Source organism: Homo sapiens, chromosome 5 (assembly GCF_000001405.40).
Source record: "Homo sapiens chromosome 5, GRCh38.p14 Primary Assembly".
NCBI lineage: Eukaryota > Metazoa > Chordata > Mammalia > Primates > Hominidae > Homo > Homo sapiens.
This window is the reverse complement of record NC_000005.10, coordinates 29,142,290-29,162,393: the sequence shown is the minus strand read 5'-3', so window position 1 is coordinate 29,162,393 and position 20,104 is coordinate 29,142,290. Positions and strand designations below refer to the sequence as shown.

General features: G+C 34.7%; 2 long non-coding RNA genes across 3 annotated transcripts in view; one reads left to right on the top strand and one right to left on the bottom strand.

Annotated features, from left to right (window-relative positions):
* LINC02109 (long intergenic non-protein coding RNA 2109) overlaps positions 1 to 18,891 on the bottom strand; it is a 29,473-nt gene extending 10,582 nt beyond the window's left edge. Inside the window, exons 1-4 of the long non-coding RNA NR_130777.1 lie at positions 18,665 to 18,891; positions 16,520 to 16,646; positions 15,933 to 16,123; positions 8,774 to 8,935 (exon numbers count right to left, since the gene is read on the bottom strand). This is a non-coding gene — a long non-coding RNA (long intergenic non-protein coding RNA 2109). The remainder of the gene's footprint in view (positions 1 to 8,773; positions 8,936 to 15,932; positions 16,124 to 16,519; positions 16,647 to 18,664) is intronic.
* A 228-nt stretch (positions 18,892 to 19,119) lies between these two features.
* Positions 19,120 to 20,104, top strand: part of LOC105374699 (uncharacterized) — a 56,997-nt gene continuing 56,012 nt past the window's right edge. For both annotated transcript variants that reach the window (XR_925880.3, XR_925879.3), the window contains exon 1: positions 19,120 to 19,208. This is a non-coding gene — a long non-coding RNA (uncharacterized LOC105374699). The remainder of the gene's footprint in view (positions 19,209 to 20,104) is intronic.

Below are 20,104 nucleotides of genomic sequence, written 5' to 3'. Positions count from 1 at the left end.
ATTATAAGAAATGAATTTCTTTTACTGGTTCAAGAAAGTCAGGATCATTGTTACACAGATCTCAGAAATATTAAACAGCCAAAACAGCAGCAAATGGGATTCAAAAAGCAAAAGCAGATACTTTAACAAAAACTTCCTAGCTTCTTCTGGACATTCATTCAAAGGCTTCATTCATTAAGCCAGCTTGCAATATCAGTGCCCATCGTGTCTCAGAGAGCCAGAAAGACTAAGCTGCTGGTTTAAAACAAAGCATGTCCTGTGGCTTGCAATCTCTTTTTGGAGTCTAAAGGACATATAAAATTATTCAAACAGTTAAATTACAAAGATTAGGAAATTGTACTCAAATAGTAAAGGGCTTTTGGCTTGAATTTCAGGCTACTGAAGAACTACACATTAAGGGAAATTTGAAATAAAATTTGATGAAAGTGAGAAGACAGTCCCTGCCATTAACTATTTGAATATAAACTTGAAAAGCCCACCAATATTTTATAAGCTTTAGTTTAAAGCCCTTTTTTTCAGCTTAAGCCTTTTGTGTTTTAATGTCTTGCACCAGCACTTAGCTGTTTTATGTTATCCATGAGAGTTTCTAAATTGCTGCCTCCACCTAATGGAAGCCTCAGGAAATTATAAAGCCAATTTCACTATAGTTATTAAGCAGAAGTTTTCTAAATTATCCAGGAGACACTAAGTAGTAGCATGAAGGCAAAAAGGCTAATAGAAGTCAAAGAGTTTAACTAGTATTTTTTTTTCACATTCTCTTGCTTACTGCCACAGTGAAGAGAAAGGCAAAGAGAAGAGCAAACACATTGTGTAATCAGCATTCATTTACTCTGCTTTTCCATGAGCCTTGGCCTTTCTACAACATTATAGCATTAGGTTTGGGCTCTATGATTATCATATATATGTATTTTTAACACTATTGATAACAAATTGTGCTAGGAAATCTGTGTTGAGCTTCTTGAAAAAAAAATAGTTAAAAATAGAGGGGTGGTTTGTACAGCCAAGGTGGTATAGTGAATTTACACATCAACAATCACATTTGCTGCAAATACATCAATGGACAGTAGGCAAAACAAAAGTTACAAAACTGGGCTTATAAAATGAATACACATCTACAACTAAAATTAAAACCACCACCAATAAATCAACATGAAAAGAGAGCAACAATAAAAAAATAAGCGAACATACTTATCCTATTGTCTAAAGGAGTTTTAGTTCCATAGGCAGATGGCAAAAATTTGACTCCTGCAGCAAAACATGGACTAAACCCATTCCATACCTGGATGAGAACCTGGATCAAGCCTCACAGGTCAAATTTAAGAGAGAGAATCATAGGGAGAAAGGAGGGAAAAGCAGGGATGAGAGAGAGAGCGCGCAAGAGTATGCAAAAGAGAGAGAAGTCCAAAATAACAAAAAAAATCTAAAATTAGGTGATAAACCTAAGAAAGATAACCAATACATTTTATAATTAAAATACAAATTCACAACAGAAAAAAATGTTACTTAACAACATGAAATATACTAAGAATATTCAAGATATTTACAGGAATAAAATTAAGATCTTTATTTTAAAATATATAGACAAAAAATATGAAACAAAAATAGGTACAGCTATTACGAGTCAGTTCTAAGTATTTTAAAAATTTTACAAATTAGAAATCTTGGATAAGATCTAAATAATACATACTATTAAGGATTTGAAACGTCAAGTAGACACAAATTAGTGCATTCCAACATAATTCCAAGGATTTTATTGCAATTTAAGCAAAGAGAAAAGCTGCTTCTACCTATCATGTGGAAGATAATTATGAATCCTCTCTGACAATAATAAGTAGAAAACCAACAAATTTTTAAAAGCATATAAGAACTCATGTCACAAAAATACCCAATGAACTAAAGTACAATTTGATAAATACCTCTTGCCCACAAAGAGGCTCATAGTTGCTTTTATCCTTATAGAGCAATAGATGTAAAAAGAACAGACCTGGGTAAGAAGACAGAAAATGAGAATTCTTTTTATGACTCTTTTAAAGGCAAAATGATGGCTAGCATAAGAAGGAGCACTCTCTACAGGCATAGATTTAAAGACAGGATATATTCACAGACAGATTGTAGGCAGAGCAAAACACCTGGAGATACTACCCTGTGTGGTATAGATGTATCAGGCCTGCAGAAATATTAGGGCAAGTTTGGAAAACAGAGATGAACACTATAAGCACCTCAGGCTTTAACTGTGTCCAAGGCAGCCACCCTTTACAGTTGGGGAAATAGTGGATAAGTCTGTGCTCAATACACACAGGAGAGTTGACAGAGTCTGTGGCTCACTAATGACTGTGAAAAAGTCTCTCCTAGTCTTACAGTGAGTATTAAACACTGGATACCTGCATCTGGATGAGGGGCAAGAAAGTTGGCAGAGATCTCTCCAGGGTTGCAGTTGCCTCAGGCTAGCTGAAGGCTAAAAGCCGAAAGAGCTAATTGAAATATGACTTTTTGAAAAACAGAAGCTTCTGGTCCTGAACACAAAAAAACCTGAAGTATGCAATTAATTGAACCCCACAAAAGCAAAATAATAATAAACGAAACTGTTTCAACGCAGACTTGATTACCTCAAAAGTATTCAACTTGACAGAAGAGAAAGCCTACAATTTTCTGTGGACAAATGTAACCTACTTTCATTTGTAAGACTATATGATCAAAATGTCTGGCATCCAATTAAGCAAAAGATTACAAAGCACAAAGGAACAAGGCACTATACGGTATATCATCAAGAAAGGAAACTGTCAATAGAACAAGAGTGAGAGATAACAAATTCTAGAATTACTACAGATAGACAAGATAAATACATTAAGAAACCTAGTCAATAAAGGGAATTAATATTCATTACATACAGGGGAAAAAGTGAAATTTAAAAATTAATAAAAGCAAAATGAAAATTATCAAAACTAAAAGTGTTGGCTGGGTGTGGTGGCTCATGCCTGTAATCCCAGCACTTTGGGAGGCTGAGGCGGCTACATCACGAGGTCAGGAGATCAAGAGCATCCTGGCTAACAAGGTGAAACCCTGTCTGTACAAAAAATACAAAAAATTAGCCGGATGTGGTGGCATGTGCCTATAGTCCCAGCTACTCAGGCGGCTGAAGCAGGAGAGTTACTTGAACCCAGGAGGCGGAGGTTGCAGTGAGCCCAGATTGCACCACTGGGTGACAGAGGGAGACTGGGAGACAGAAAGAGACTCGGTCTCAAAAAAAAAAAAAAGAAAAAAAAACCCAAAAAACTAAAAGTGTTATATTATAGATACATTGTTTGTTGACTCATTAGCAGAGATAATAATAAATAATGTTGAAAACAGGTAGAAAATACACAGTTTGAATTACAAAAGGGAAAAAGAGAATATATAAAGAAGAAAATGATGAATAATCTGAAATTTGTGAGACAATATCACACAGTCTAATATACATATTATTGGAGCCCCAGATAAAATATAAAATATAATGAATTGATGTTAAAAATATTTGAGAAATGATGTTTTATAGTATTTTTAATTGGTTAGTGATATCAACCCAGATATTCAAAGAGTTCAGCACATTCCAACCAGAATATGTGCAGAAAAAAGCACACCTATGCACACTCTATTCAAATTGAAAAAAATATATAACATTTAAAAGCCATTAGATGAAGAAAATAAAACAGTATAAGGAGAAATGCAATGAAAATAACAGATCTCTGCACTGCAGCAAATGAACAATAGAGCTCAGAAAACAATGACATGATATAATAACAATTATGAAAAAAAACAGTCAGCCTAGAATTTTAGTGAAAGTGTCTTTCATAAACAAAGTCAAAACAAATACATTTTTAGGCAAGCTGAAAAATTTTTCTTGAACAGATCTGCTGTAGAGGAAATAAAATATAAAAACATGCTTTTTAATATTTTTTCTTTTAAACCAGAGAAATGGTATCTGATAGAAACAGGCTATTACAAAAACTGGGGGAAAAGAGTAATGATGACATATATGCAAAATAAAAGATATTTTAAGAATAATTTTTGATGTGATCTGGGATTTATATTATATATACAGAAATCAAATAAATGACTTTAGAAGTTATGCCAGAAAAGAGAAAATGTATTAAAGGTTTTCCCTTGTAACACTTTTATCTGTTGGTTAAGCATTAGAATATGTTTGAAGATAGATTGGTTAAGCATTAGACTGTGTTTGACGATAGATTGTGAAACCTTAAAGAGGTATATTTTAGTATTCACAGTGACCACACAAAAATTCATTGTGGAAATTTTCTTCTGATTGCTTTAAAGTGTCCAGTGCAACAGTAAATAGTACAATTGGAGAATGTATTAGATATTTGAGAAGATAAGAAAAAATATGAAATGGTTATTTAGAATTGAATAATGCTGTATGATTTTTGTTCAGTAAAATCCTACCTGAGGTACATGGTCAAGAATTTCATGAGAGCAGTCAGAAAAGCATTTTTTTTTCCAGTTTCTTCAGTTGCATGAAAATGTAAAGAATTGTATTTAAGTAGGGTTTTGCTCCTGGTAAGCAGATAAACAGCAAGGAAGAGGAAAGGAATTGAGCATGTCTGCAGATTAATTATTATGATAAAACATGAATTTAGGCAGAGTAAACAAGATTAAAGGACTTGAGTTGGGTGAGAGTCAGAGAAAGGTGGTCAGAACAATGGGTGGTTGAACACAGAGATTCTGTAATTAGCATAGTGTAACAATGTTGGGACTTCTTTTAATTAGGTTCCAATGGGCAATTATGTCAAGGGGTAGTTTACATAAATAGTAGTGATACAACCTTCTACAATTTCCCTCATGATCTGAAAACAGAACAAAACTCAGTGGAAGGAAGTTTAAGGCATGTCATTAAATACTGCACAGGAAAAAGTGCACACAGCGTGTCCTGCAGTCCATTTGGAACTTAGTTCTTTTCAGAGTAAATTTAAGTCTTCAGACCTTCTTAAACAATTAGGCTAAATTTTCAATGCATACTTCTAGTCCTCAATATATAAAATACCAGTATTCTAAAAGACTCTTTTCTTCTCTATATATCCTTGCTTCTGCCATGCCAGCTTAATAAAAATAAACTTATATAAATGATAATGGTCAGTTGCAAAGGATATCATAGTTTTAGTTACCAGGCTTGCCAGTGACCTATTAAACATCAGTCTTCTCCCTACTAAATAAACTCTATGATTGAGATAAAACGAGAGTAATCTTCAGTGAACTGCTGCTGTCAAAACCTTGCCTGGACTGTATTTACTAAAATTAAAATTTGAAGCCACCCACTTGGACGACTTTAGATTGCTCCATGTCCGTTGTTTATTTTTCTTCTTCGAGGTTTCAGACCAATTCACTAAAAAGTTAAAATTTTAAGGTACTATTCTGTTATATACTTTTTCCCCTCCTGCTATGGTTTGAATGTATGTGTCTGCTCACAATTCATATGTTGGAGTCTCAGACTCAACGTAACAGTATTAAGACTTGGAGCTTTTAGGTGGTGATTATTATCAGGGCTCGAGGGAACAGGCCAGACCCTTTCGCCCCTTCCACTTTTCGACATCTGAGAGCACAACAACCAAGTTCCATCTTGGAAGCAAAGATCAAAACTTCACCAGACACTGAATCTGCCAGCACTTTGAATTTTTACTTCCCAATCTCTACAACTTTGAGAAAATGGATTTCTGTTGTTGATAAATTGCTCAGGTATTTTGTTATAGCAGCAGGAGCCTTCTAAGACACCTGCTAGAATACAAGCAAATTAAAAAATAAATTGGGGGACAGATCATTAAAACTATGATGCATGCTTTAATACTGACAAATGCATTTATATAATATGGATTTACATTTATAGTCAAAAGACTAATGATCTATGAATTGCCATCTTTCTAGCCTAAACAATGAGATTCTCAACCTGGAAAATATTGAGGAGAGTAGCACATTCTTACCAACTAGGATTATTGCTTCATATCAATTTAGGAAAGAGTCAACAAAACAAGGAGAATCTCTGGTACTTTCAGGCTTCTTTTTTTGTTTTTTGAGACAGAGTCTTGCTCTTGTCAACAGGCTGGAGTGCAGTGGCGTGATCTCGGCTCACCACAACCTCCGATTCCCTGGTTCAAGCAATTCTCCTGCCTCAGCCTCCCAAGTAGCTGGGATTACAGGCACGTGCCACCACGCCCAGCTAATTTTTGTGTTGTTAGTAGAGATGGGGTTTCACCATGTTGGCCAGGATGGTCTCGATCTCCTGACCTCGTGATCCACCCACCTTGGCCTCCCAAAGTGCTGGGATTACAGGCGTGAGCCACCGCGACAAGCCTTCAGGCTTCTTAGAGATTAATACATTACTATCAGGAATACTGGACAAGTAGATATCGGAGAGCAATCAGTGAACACACTCAGCCTCCAAGGGAGAGATGAATAGGGAAAGTGAAGAGAAAATTTTATGAATTTTTCTTATCATGAAAGATATTTCCAGTGGAACTTTAAATACAGAAGAAATGTTAGCCCTCTAACAAATTAGAACTATAAGATATTTAGACTCCAAATGCAGTAATCCGAAATCAGAACTGCGGCATGTAGCAAACAAAAACATATTCAGTACAATGTCCTAGGCTTTAAGGTATTTATTTAGAAATAAGTATATAAAAATTATTAGTCAAATGACAACATAAACTAAAAGAAAATGTAAAGAAAAATAAATATATAGGAATATGAAGCAGAGGAGAAGAGAGAGAGGTAGTGAGAGAGGGAAGAATAAACAAGCAAGCTGAAACTGAAGTTTTGGGAGGAAAAACCAACAACGTAGAAAAACTTCTTATAAGTTCTAACTAATCAAGAAATTAAAGGGAAGGCAGAAGTGACAAATCAACAAAGTTGGAAATAAGAAACTTATGTAAGCAAATGTGTATACAAGGATCATTAAAGTGCAGAGTACAGGTCAGAATATTCAGTAGAGAACTCCTTGAAACTGTGTTAATGTGGTGAAAACCTAAGAGAATTTCATGTCTCTGAAAAAATAAAAAATTGGAATTTCCATTTAAGGAGGAATTAGAAAGTATCCAAAATCAGTCTTTAAAATATGCATTGGTAATTTAAAGCATCACACATAAAAAGAAATGACGATCAGTGAGTCCTTGAGGCTTATTAAAACTAGACTTTAAGGAACACGTAATCCCCACTTTGTGTCCATGTTTTTAACTGAATATAAAGAAATCTATTTATTGTATTTTAAAAGAATATAATTACACAGACACACACACACACATTCATACATACAGAAGTAATGAAAATAAAAGGAAAGAGTTGTGTTTAACTTGACTGTTAATCAGATACCATCTCCAACTTCCAGAACTACTTTTCCAAGTCCTAGTACAATATCTATACAAACTCAACACTCACAGTATAGATACTATAGTACTGTATCTATACAAATTCAAACTAAACAGGGCATTAATAGGTAACTAAGAAGACAGAATTTAATCCTTGACTTCACAGAGCTTTCTATCTAGTAGAACTGATAATATTTGTATATAAATATAATGAAAGATGAAATGTGAAAAATGTTATTATAAATGTACCAAAATCTGTAAAAATGGTTAAGTGGTTGAAGAGGGGAAGGGGAAGAGTGAGAGAGAACATAGGATTCATCAAGAATCCTCTAAATAAGTTAAGGAAATAGTATGATTAGACTCTAAGGCTCATTTAGGGACTTCTATTAAAATTCTGATAACACAGCATATCATACTCTAGACTATTCAGCATTCAGTTAATTGAAAGTAATCTGGAAACTCAAAAAGGCCTTCCTTTGGATATTTGCTCACTTGCAATACAGACTCATTTTTATGGTGTATTTAGCTAGTGGATTAGTAAAGTGGGTATGTCAGAACGATTCAGCTTGCTAATTAGCGTTTTTAATGAGTTTTTACTATGTCACTCCCTAGCAGTCTATTTACCATTTTCAATACTGTAGTTTGGAAGCCAAAATCTTAGTGGGTTGCAATTAACTAAAAGTATTTCTACTGAAATAAGCCCAGTCAAAGATTTAGTAAATTCAACAATAGTAAACATAGTAATAACAAGGCAAGATATAAGAACAAATATATAAAAATATAAATATAAAAACATCAGAACATTAAAATTATAAAGTCAGAGTAGAAATGTGTTCATATAGAATTGAGCAAAGAAGATCTCTATGTTATTATATATGAAATAGTGCTTGTTTAAGTGAAGTTTTAATGAATTTGCACTTAAATTTAAACAATTTTAGTTTCACAAGCTGTAGACTATGTAATAGATTATTTCATTTGCAAATTCTGTGGCTTTGATGAATACACAGTAACTTATAAGCAGCACTTGTATATTAACTGCATTGATTTATTAGTATATTGCTACTGCATTATTATACTTTTACAGTAAATCCTGTATTAGTTCACCACAAATAATAGCAAAATGAAGATATACATGTCAGTCATGTGCATCTGATATGTGTGGCAGTCTATAGTCCAGAACAACACAGGAGTAAGTAAATCCTAATATACTATATATTATCATTCTCACTGTATTACAACTTCACCTCAGAGAGAGTTTAAAGTCTTATTTCAGACTTAGTGAGTTCTAAGTTTTGTACAAGACTGAGGTACATCAACTGTGTCCGAGGTAAAATTTTCTTTTAACTTTCCTGAGTATTTGTGTGGAAGATGTGACATAGCTGATAAGTTCTTCAATAACAGTGTGTTTTTCCCTTTCATATTACATGGCTGTCGTTAGGAAGATGGCTTCTCAGCTTAGGACGGCATTCTTTTTGACCCGTTGTCTTTGATGGTAGTGTGATTTCTCTCCAACAAAATCTAAGCAGTAATGATATGCATACTTTCCAGGAAGGTCGACCAGGGAGGCATCTTTTTCCTATTGAGGACTGAGGGCAGAGAATTATAAATATCGAGTGGATTGGAGAACTTTACTCTGGAAGCAACTTGGTTCCTGAATCAGCATAGAAAGCAAACAATCCCACGTTAGATAGGAATGCTTACATATATCAGCTAAATGGATGAGAAATAAATTTGTTTTGTTAAGCCACTGAATGGTTGTTTTATTTATTTATTTAGTTAGTTAGTTAGTATTGTGGAGAGCTATTCTAACTACAGAAAAAAATCAGAATTCCTCAACATACATGAGTAATTAAAAAAATTCAGTGTCTCAGCAATCATTTGAATGCTTATTGGTTACATTTACAAATTGGCCTCCTAATGAAAACCTATGAAATGAAATCCAATGTATTTATATGCATGGGAATTATACATATTTAAAGAATGAAGTGAAACTAAATGTTAAATGTTAATATCTAGAAAAATGCCTAAAATGCAGCTTTCCCCTCCCCCAATGCACACTTTAATTCATCCAGCCTGTCAACACATTGTGCTGAAAAGGTAAACATAAATATATGTTTTGTTTCATTAGGGATTGCTTCACCTCCTCTTTTCTCTTTATTTTATTTGTGTTGCTGTGAGGAATTGGGAGCCTATTATTAAAATAATTTTTAATCCTAAGAGAAAGAAAATAAGCTGATGACACAGATTGAAATTATGTGAAGAGAATGAGCTACAAGGAAGAAAGGGTTCAATGAAATCATATTACAGAAAGAACATGCAAGAACTCTGGCTTCCCCATAGGAATCTACGATTATACAAAATTAACTGCAAATCCCCTTTGTTTGTTATCACTTATTGATGGTTGGAGGCAACATAGCTAAAATATGAAAAGTGAAAATTTAATTAATCACTTGACTCTACTTACAATGAAATAATAGTTACTTATTTACTAATTATATACATATAATAATACAATACTCAGGCATAATTATCAGAAGTTCCCTCAAAGAGTGAGTATGAGTTCAGCTTCTAACATTTGTATAGTGGTAGGGTCAGACCATTTTATTTGCAGAGAGATTCTACTCAATCCTACAGTTGCACCTAACTGGACAAGGAGTGGGTACCTATTCTAAATTGCAACAGTCAGAACTTCTTCCCACAGAATTTTCAACTGATGTTAGAATCACTTTTCCCACGTCCTTTGGATGTTTAACTTGTAAACTCATGAAATCTGAATAGGCTCTTTTGCCGTATAAATTCAGTTGCCCATCCGGAGGAAGAATAATGGAGCAGGTGACCAGCAAAATAAGAGAAGGAGATACGTTAAAGACCAGCTTCTCAGGCATGCTTGAGGCCTTCCTGCACACTAATTCTTCTGCCTCTAGCTTGGGAGGAGACCCTGTATCCATTGTGCTTAATCTGACATCATTCATTTTCTATTATTTCAAATCCAAAAAAAGTTCTAGGTAATAGAAATATATAAAATAATTTTGGAAGAATAAATGAATTTCATATTCTGGAACTCCTTGAATCATTTATGCTTCTTGACTTGCAGGAGAACTGCATCAGCAAAATTTCATTGCATCAATGGCTGTTATTTCTCTATATTGGGAACAGAGGAAAGACAACCAACTCCTTATTTTTCTGAACCTTAGAATATATTTTTTTCTTTGAAATCTGTGAAGTTATTTCTGTTTTATGTGCAAAATTGTAACATCATTCACCTGACAGCAATTAAGAACAAAGCCTCATTCTATTCTAAGTGGTCTCATTCCATCTATTTCGCAAAGCACAAGACAATTAGCATACTTCTAAGTTTTACTTTCCTTTCTGATTAATATATTTATGAAATTTTACTGAAAGTAAAAGTGATCACTTAAAGTTAAACCTCATACAACTTAACCTTACGTAACTTACCTGATACATTTTTTAAATAATTAAAAACATGACTATAGACAACAAGGTTAGGTCCTGAGATTATATACTGTTTAAACTCAAAAAAAAAGTTTAATACCTTTAAATCTTAGACTACTATGTATACCTTATGTTTTAAGGTGTTACTGTAATTTATTCACTAACAGAAGTTGGTAATATTTAATACTTTTAAATTATTACTGTTACTTGAGGAAAACTGGTGAAACCACTTTACTATTTTTCTCATAAACATTTTTGTTTAGAATGGAGCAAACAAGTTTCAGCTTATTCTATTTTCTGTGCATTCACTGCATGAAAGACTTAAGACTCAACCTGGGCAGCAAGGACCTAAATTACATTTACGCATAATGGACAGAATGTGTATCCCAAATGACAGATCTCATTCTGCTGATGGAGGAGGTCAGTGTCAAGTGGAACGCAAAAGGCAAGGGGATGAGTGTTAATGACACTGAGATGCCTGCAAGTGGAGGAACAGTAAGTAGTTCTAGAGGTCAGGTAAGGAGTGGGTGATTCTGGGGATTGTAGTTCAGGCAGACTCCTGAGTTGGGATCTGTGGATGAAAACTGCATGTGAATTCCAGGGTGTTTTTCTGCCTTGGTTTGGCTGTAAACTTGGCTCACAGTGGGGAATGATACACTTGTAAATGGAGTCAGTGCCCAGAAAAGGTGGTGCTCACAATAAAAATTTTACACAAGCTACTCAGCACCCACACTACTGAAACATCTTTTCAAAGACCTGGAAACTGAAGCACAGCTGTAAATATTTTTACAGCAAGTGATTCTAGCATCCTGCAAACACTGAAGCACTTTTTTTTTCAAGCCTTTTGAAGTGCCAAGGCACATGAATATTCATAAAGAGGTATTTTGCCAACCCCAGGGCCTCTTCCTTGGGGTACACCTGACTCTATTCAGAGTGACAGTCAAACCAAACCATATACGGATTTGAGGAAAACAGACATCCACGTAACTTCACGTGTCCACACCTAAGGAAGAAGTGGTTCTCCACAAGAGCACCCTCACTGCAGACACCAGCTACATGCTCCAAGGCCACCCTCAATTCTGATCAGCTGGCTATAAATTCTGGGGCTCTCACTACCTGCTCAGGTTTGATAATTTGCTACAACAATTCACAGAACTCAGAAAGAGTTATGATTACAGTTTTATTATTATAGCAAAATCATACAGATCAAAATCAGCCAAGGGAAGAGACATGTAGGGCAAATTCTGGGAAGATTGTAACTACAGGCGTTTCATTGTTTCCTCCCTGCGGAGTCAGTACACATTACCCTCTTAGAACCACGATGTATGACAATATACGGCACTGTCAACCAAGGAAGTTCACTCAAGCTTCCATGTCTAGAGTTTTTATTGAATTTTCATTACCTAAGAATGATAGACTAAATCACTGTGCATGCTATTGAGCGCATCCTCCAGCTTCCTTCCCCTCTCCAGATGTCTGGCTGATATAATGTGGCTCAAAGCTCTAAGCTTTACAAGGTTGATCTTTCTGGCATGACCAGTCCCCATCTTAAATCACGTCTTTAGCACAAATTATCTAAAGGTACACCCTGAATCACCTCTACATAAACCATCAGATGTGGTCTAAAGAGTCCACCATGAATAACAAAGACACTTCTATCACTGAAGAGATTCCCAGTATTTAGAGGTTACCTCCCAGAAACTGGGGACAAAGGCCAAATTCTTTATCACACAACTGCTCAATCATACCCAGAAATGAGTTAAAAATGATTTCTGTAGTGCAGGTCACATTCTATTATAAAAACTGAGAAACAAAATCAATGCTCTCACTCTCATAATAAGCCATTCAAACATCACAGAAAAGTTGACTGGTCACTACCTGCTGATAATGGTAGAATTGTTCTGTGGAAATATTTTTGGGTACATTCCAGTATATGGAAAAAAAATAAGAAAATAGAGTATTTTCTCCCAGAGTTCAATACCACAGCAGGTATCAGAAACAGAAAATGTATTCTTAATCAGAAAATGTATTCTTAATCATTAGTGAAGACTGTGTGTGTCTGAGGGGAGAGGGGATGTACTCAGGAATGACCACAGAGGCCAGGAAATTCTAAAGAGAATGATTTCTACATTTGCCTACAGAACAAATCAGAAGTAAAATCATAGCTCATATACTTGAACAGCTTACATTAGTGTACATTTCATTATCTATGATCCACCTGCTGAGGAATTATGTTAAGATATTGTTAAATCCAGTGTAACAAAGTGCTTTGGAATGTCTTTTCTGAAGGGAGCCTGCCTGGGTTAAAATATTTATTCATTATTCACTTACCAACTGTGTGCCTCAGGAAAGTAATTCACTTGCCATGAGGATATTAATAATATTCGCTAAGAAAAATTGTTAAATTTTACTAAAAAAATTTCAAGAAAATGATTAAATAAAACCGGACTCAGCAAATATTTAATTAAGCTAATGGTAATAGTAGTAGTAGGAAAAGTGATATCAGTAGGACTTCTCACACACTTTTCTCATCTAAACTATGCAGGGTTATTTAAATTACAAATTAAAAATCCAAAAGTATGCCTGTTAAAACGGAGAGAACACTAATTTTAATTGAAATACATTTTTAAAAAAGAAGAGGGTAGATATATTTAGGGGGAATTAAGCTCCAGCTTTTACCCTTGGTGTGCAGTTTTCAATAGTTCAGCAATTGTTCCACAGACGGCAGCAAGAAAAAGTGCATGCTTGATAGTGAGGCCAACAAAGAGATTCCTCTTTTTCTCTCTTTTGCATTGTTTGAATTCCTCCATAACCGTGTATCTCATTTAGCCAAGTGGCCACTTCCACTTAGTGAACAAGGGGCATCCCCTTGTTTGTTTCTGGCTGCCACTGAATTTGTAAGTGTTTTGTTTTCATTGATACTGATAAGTCTACTTTGAAATTTCCTCTTCTTAACACATTGCCCAAAGTATGAGTATTAGTCAGTGTTCTGCAGAGAGATAAAAACCAAACACCGAATGTTCTCACTCATAGGTGGGAATAGAACAATGAGAACACATGGACACAGGAAGGGGAACATCACGCACTGGGGCCTGTTTTGGGGTGGGGGTAGGGGGGAGGGATAGCACTAGGAGATATACCTAATGGTTAAGTGACGAGTTACTGGGTGCAGCACACCAACATGGCACATGTATACATATGTAACTAACCTGCACGTTGTGCATATGAACCCTAAAACTTAAAGTATAATAAAAAAAAGAAAAAAAAACCAGTAAGACAGATAAATGATAGATAGATGATAGATAGATAGATAGATAGATAGATAGATAGATAGATAGATAGATAACATAGATAGATGCATAGATAGATAGAAGAAAGGGAATTTATTAGGAAAATTGGCTTATGGGATTATGGAAGCTGAGAAGTCTTATGATACGCTGTCTGAATTTGCAGATCCAGGGATATTAGTAGGTTGGTTCAGTCCAAATCCAAAAGCCTCAGAAGCAGGCAAGCTGATGGTATAACTTTCAGTTGGAGGCCAGAGGCCTGAGATCCCAGGGGGCTGTGGGTGCAAGTCCCAGAGTCCAAAAGCCAGAGAGCCTGAGGATTCGATGTCCAAGGGCAGAAGTATGTCCCAAATTCAGGTGAGACTGAATTCGCCTTTCTCCTACCTTTTTATTTTACTTGGTCTTCAGCTGATTGGATGCTGCCTCCCACATTGAGGGTGAATCTTCCTTACTCAGTCCACTGATTTCAAATGGCAGTCTGTTCTGGAAACTCCCACAGATATACCCAGAAACAATGCTTTACTAGCTATTTATGTACCCCTTAGTCCAGCAAGGTTGACACCTCAACTTAACCATCACAGTAGGGTTTCTTTTATCCTCCAGTCATCCAAGGCTCATTTCCTTACCATATTGTCAGTCTCTCAGTTACTACCTAAGAAACTGTATAAACCCTTAACCTTGCTATTATTGTTATTGTGTATTTTTTCTAAGGCAATGGAAACACCCTCATAATTCTGCTCATTTAGAAGATACATATTTTTCTTCGTCAGTAAAATGCAGCGATCACAGGACACAATATAGATGCCTTCCGGACTGAATGTGGAATCTCCATCCTGAGCAATGCTGCCTGTTAGGAAGTCCTCTAATAACTGATTATACAAGAGAACTTCTAAGCTTTTTAAAATTATGGGGTTAGTCAACATCTAAAATTTTAACACAGGACCTAAAGACTTATGAGCTACCTGTTCATAGATATGATCAATACTGCCTGTGGTCAGTTCTGATGCATATTCTTAAATAAACCATTTTCATTTGATGAGGGGGTTTCTCTGTGCCTTTTTCTTTGTATTGGAATATTGTTCTTATATAAATCCTAATATGAATGTTTCAGTTTCCATTAAACCCCAATAAAAGGCCATCATTTGCCTTTCAAGGAGAGTAGACATGAAGGCAGCCTCAGATTATTTTCTAGTGACTACCACCAGGTGGTACTTGCAGGCCTTTGCCAAAGGCTCCATCCAGCATAAGTGTCATTGCTGACACTTCTAATATCTTTTAAGCACAAGGGTCACACGTGGTCTTATGTTATTGATCTATTGCTATGTAACAAATTTTCCCAAATGTAGGTGCTTAAAACAACACACATTTGTTTTCTCATAATTTCTGTGGATCAGGAATCTCTGTATGCCTTAGCTGGCTTCTCTGTTTCTGTCTATCACAAGACTGTAATACAGGTATTAGCCAAGGCTGGGGTCTCAACTGAACTCTAGACTAAGAATGAATCTGCTTTTATGCTCATGTGGTTGTTAGCAAGATTCATTTCCTTGTGAGGTGTTAGAATGAGAGTCTCAGTTCTTTGCTAGCTGTTGTTCAGGGAATTTCTCATTTCCTTGTCCATGTGGACCTCATATATATGGCTCTTCCCTTTATTGAAGCCAACAAGATAGCAAGGCAGAACTCATATTTTGTATAAACTAATTAAGAAAGTGACATCTCATCTCCTTTGCTGTATTCTGTTGATAAGGAGCAAGTCACTAAACCAGCCTATACTCAAATAAGAGAGATTGCATAAGAGTGAAAATACTAAGAGGTGAAGAATATTAGGGGCCAAATTAAAATCTACCTGCTATAATGATCAACACAGCAATGGCTCTGTGTTCAGGCAACTCTAGGGTTGTTTAGGTTGCCATTTAATTCCAGATTATTTCACAACTTTGTGGATAGGAAGTAAGACACTATCCAGACAGGGTACACGATTTCTTCAGAAACCAGGCAACCAGAGCAATCTTTCTGTATCATCTTCTGATTTTGGAACTGGAAAAGCACAATAATTTATTTTTGGTTGATTGAGGAATGTCTTTAGTTACTCTGGCCCAAGTAATAAACATGAATTTTACTATTTGTCCTGTACTTCATTCAAATTAATCCATATAATCAGTAATGTAACTCTTCCCTGGGTATTTATATAAATAACCATTACTTTTCATTCATTTTTAGCTTAATCTTCAGGTTAAAATATATATCAGCATTATATCATCAACATAATAACAATAGCTTTCAATTAAATCAAAATTGTTTCTTCTTACTGAGTGGTGTCAACACATACACAAATTTAAATGTCCTTCTAGGAGAACAATAAATGTGTATTTTGTTTCATCTCACATTAATGAAAATTGGCCCTGGGTTTTCCATCACAAAATACCAATTTACCTTCACAATGTGAATTAACACCATATCAGGCATAGCTGATGCTGTTGTAGACATCACTTTACTCAATATTTGGCTGTCCATAGTTAATCTGCAGGATCCATCAGTTTTTCTCACAAACACTGCTAGACTGTGAAGCAATAAATGCATAGGTACTGTTACACCTGCAGCTAATATATCATTATTTAAAACTGAAATTTCTGGATGTCCCCCAAACAAACAACATTGTTTCAAATTAAGCATGTCAGTGGATTTAAATAATTCTAAAGCTCTCATTTAGCATGCCTAACTAAAAGAAGATATGGAGCCAATTTGGACAATATCCGTTCCCTTAATATTTGAGAGAAGGAAGAATACCCATTTAAATATCGCATACATTTAAACAATATATTCTGGTAAATGTGTCAGGATTTGATAACTTCCTTGCTCATCCTACAACATTCTCACCGTTGCAAAATTATTTTCTCTATTTGATTGATACAATATATGAAATTTAAGAGTGTGCCATATTTTACTGGACACTATTTCATGTTTCAGGAAGACATTTTTACCTATTGATTTCTAACACAAAAAGATACTGTGTTTGTGAAGGCAACTTTTTGTAATACTAAAATGAGAAGTAATTTGAGCTGCAGGATTTATCAATATTATCGATGGCTAATTTTCTACTTTTGTGTAGTAAAAGCTTTGATTTCTCAAATTATCATTAATGCATTTAAAAACACATTGAAATCACAAAATGAATAGAATTATTTGTATATGTTCTTTCTTATCAATTCCTGAAATATTTTCAAATGGTGACCCTTTATAATTAATGTGAATTTTAAAATTACCCATAAAACCGTTCATGTTTTCTTAGAATTATTGTAGTTATACAATATCACATTATATTAGAACTGTTATCTATAAAATAAATGACCTCCACTAAACTTGACTTGCATCAAAAACCAACAGTTTCAGTATTTTATTATATGATAAATGTGGTAGCAAATATGGGAAGCATGCCCAAATACGGACAGATGAGTAGTTCATTGTGACAGCTGTGGCTTGACAAAATCATTATCAGTCTCATACTAATATTATTTTTTCCCTGTGTCTCTCTTGCTATAACTAAATTTCATTAACACTTTAGGAAATATGAGCCTTTCTCCATCTGGCACATGGCTTTTAAAACTCATTTACTGTAATTTACAAAATCTGCAAACAGCTGGCAAAAATATATTTTTATTAAGTTTTTAGCATATGATTTGAAAGATCTGTAACTTTGTCCACATCCCTAAAGCCCAGAATATTTTCTTCATTTTCCAACTGTGGAATCTCCACAATTTCTTTCTAAATTGTAAGAAATTAGGTGGCTTTGTCTTTAATTATCAACTGGTACATTAAGTTCTCATATTTAAATTTTAAATATGGGTAATTCAACTGATCTTTATCCTTGAAAATATTAAAAGTATGAGAGGCTTCTTTTTTGTTTATTTGTTTGTTTTTACAATAAAGTTTTTAAACTGTACCTCTCAATACATAACACTGAATGACTAATTACTGTGTTTCCAGCTTTAGACTTTCTTTTGATATATTATACACCATATGAATGTTTTCTATTGATAAAATCAGTTCATCTTTATAGTCCCTTATATCTTTATGATATGTGAGAAATCACAACATTTAATATTAAACAGTAATATTAGTAATTTTTAATAAAGTTTGTTCCTAGAAAGTACAAATAAAGGAATAATAAATATGTTGTATATAAATACAAACAATCATATAAACATATGTGGTTTGTAAAAGTTAGAAAAATTTGCAATAGGATATTGTAAAGACAAAAGCATACGTTTTTTCTCTCTACTCTTTTACATGGACATTCAAAAGAATATTTCTGATTCCAGATTCTCCAGTGGAAACCAAACTAGTGTTTTGTAATTTAACTCAATTCTGACACTGCCAACCTGGGGACAGCATCAGATCTCACAGACTGAAGGCTCAGTCCCACAAGATTGACCCAACTTCAGACACCAATCTTGAGAACTAGGTTATCACCTATACTTTTGACTGACCAACTATAAATGGGAGGTTTCCAAGACAGCCTCCTGCGTTTTGGTTAATTTCTACAGCAGCTAATAGAGCTCAGAGAAACGCTTTACTTACATCTGCCCATTTCTTATAAGAGGCATTACAAAGGATATAGATCAATAGTCAGATGAAAGTGGCAAAGAGTTTCCATGCCTCTATAGGTGTGGCATTCTTTAGAGGGTCCTTGAACCCTGTCCTATTGGGTTCTTATGAAAGCTGTGTTATGTAGGCATGAATGATTATATCGTGAGCTACTGGTAATCAACTCAACCTTCAGCCTTTCCTCTGTCTCTGGAAGTCATGGGGTGGGGCTGAATATTCTAATCCTCTTATTGCATGGTTGGTTTCCTTGGCAACCAGCTCCTGTCTTGAGACTCTCTGTGAGCCCACCAAGAGTTGCTTCATTAGAACAAAAGATGATCCTATCATCCAGGAAATTGCCAAGGATTTAGGAGATCTGTGTCAGGAACTGAGGTCAAAGTCCAAATATTGGAACAGAAGATTCTCTTAGTACCCCTATCTATAAAAGTTTCAGGAGCCGTATGTCAAGAACTGAAGGAAAAAAACAAATAGATATTTCTTCTTATATTACAACAGTACAGATATTCAACAAGGGCAGGTAATAATAACTATAAAATATTTACGTAAATAAATTTGAGTTATGTTTGTTAAAGTAGGTGACTAGATGTCCTGAAAACAAAAAGGCTGCAGTTAGGAGTACGTGAACTCTTTATGAAAGTTCTTAAATTCATTAAAGAAGGAGCTAGATAGAATATTTAAGGGAACATGGGGACCCAGAATCAGAGACAGTTTTGTCCTGGAGACATTATCACAAAAATTATGAACTTGACAAATTTTGGTTCTCCTTGACACAGTATATACCAAGAGATGAGAACACAGTCCCAAACACCTTCCCCAGTTGATTTCAATAACCTTTTGATATAAATCTACTATCAGATTATTTAATCACCCAGGTACTAAGTCTAGTACCCAGTAGTTATTTTTTCTGCTATCAAACCCCGATGACATGAGTTTACCTACATAACAGACCTATACATGTAACCCTGAACCTAAAATAAAAGTTAAAAAAATTAAATATCTACAGTCACACAAAGTTATAATTTTTGTGAAAGTGAGAAGCAAGTCTAAAACCCTTCCAACTTCCTCATCACAAGAAGATTACAATAAAAGTTACTGATCTTAGAGCAGGAGGTCTAGTAAGGATTTCCTTGAGATTGTATAATCAAAAGAAAATCTTAACATAGATTTGCAAGCCAAGATCACATAATATTTTAATCCAAAAGATGGTTTTCCTAAATGTCTAAGATAAGCAAATACATATAATTTCTGAAATCATTTACCCCAAATGATTTCATGAATAATTGTCATGGGAAAATGACATAGTCAAAAAAGAAAATCCAAACGGATGAACAGACTTCCTGTGATCATATAAAATAAGACTTAAAACTGTAAAGATGTCAGTTATCTCTAAATTGGGATATAGATTTAAAGCCA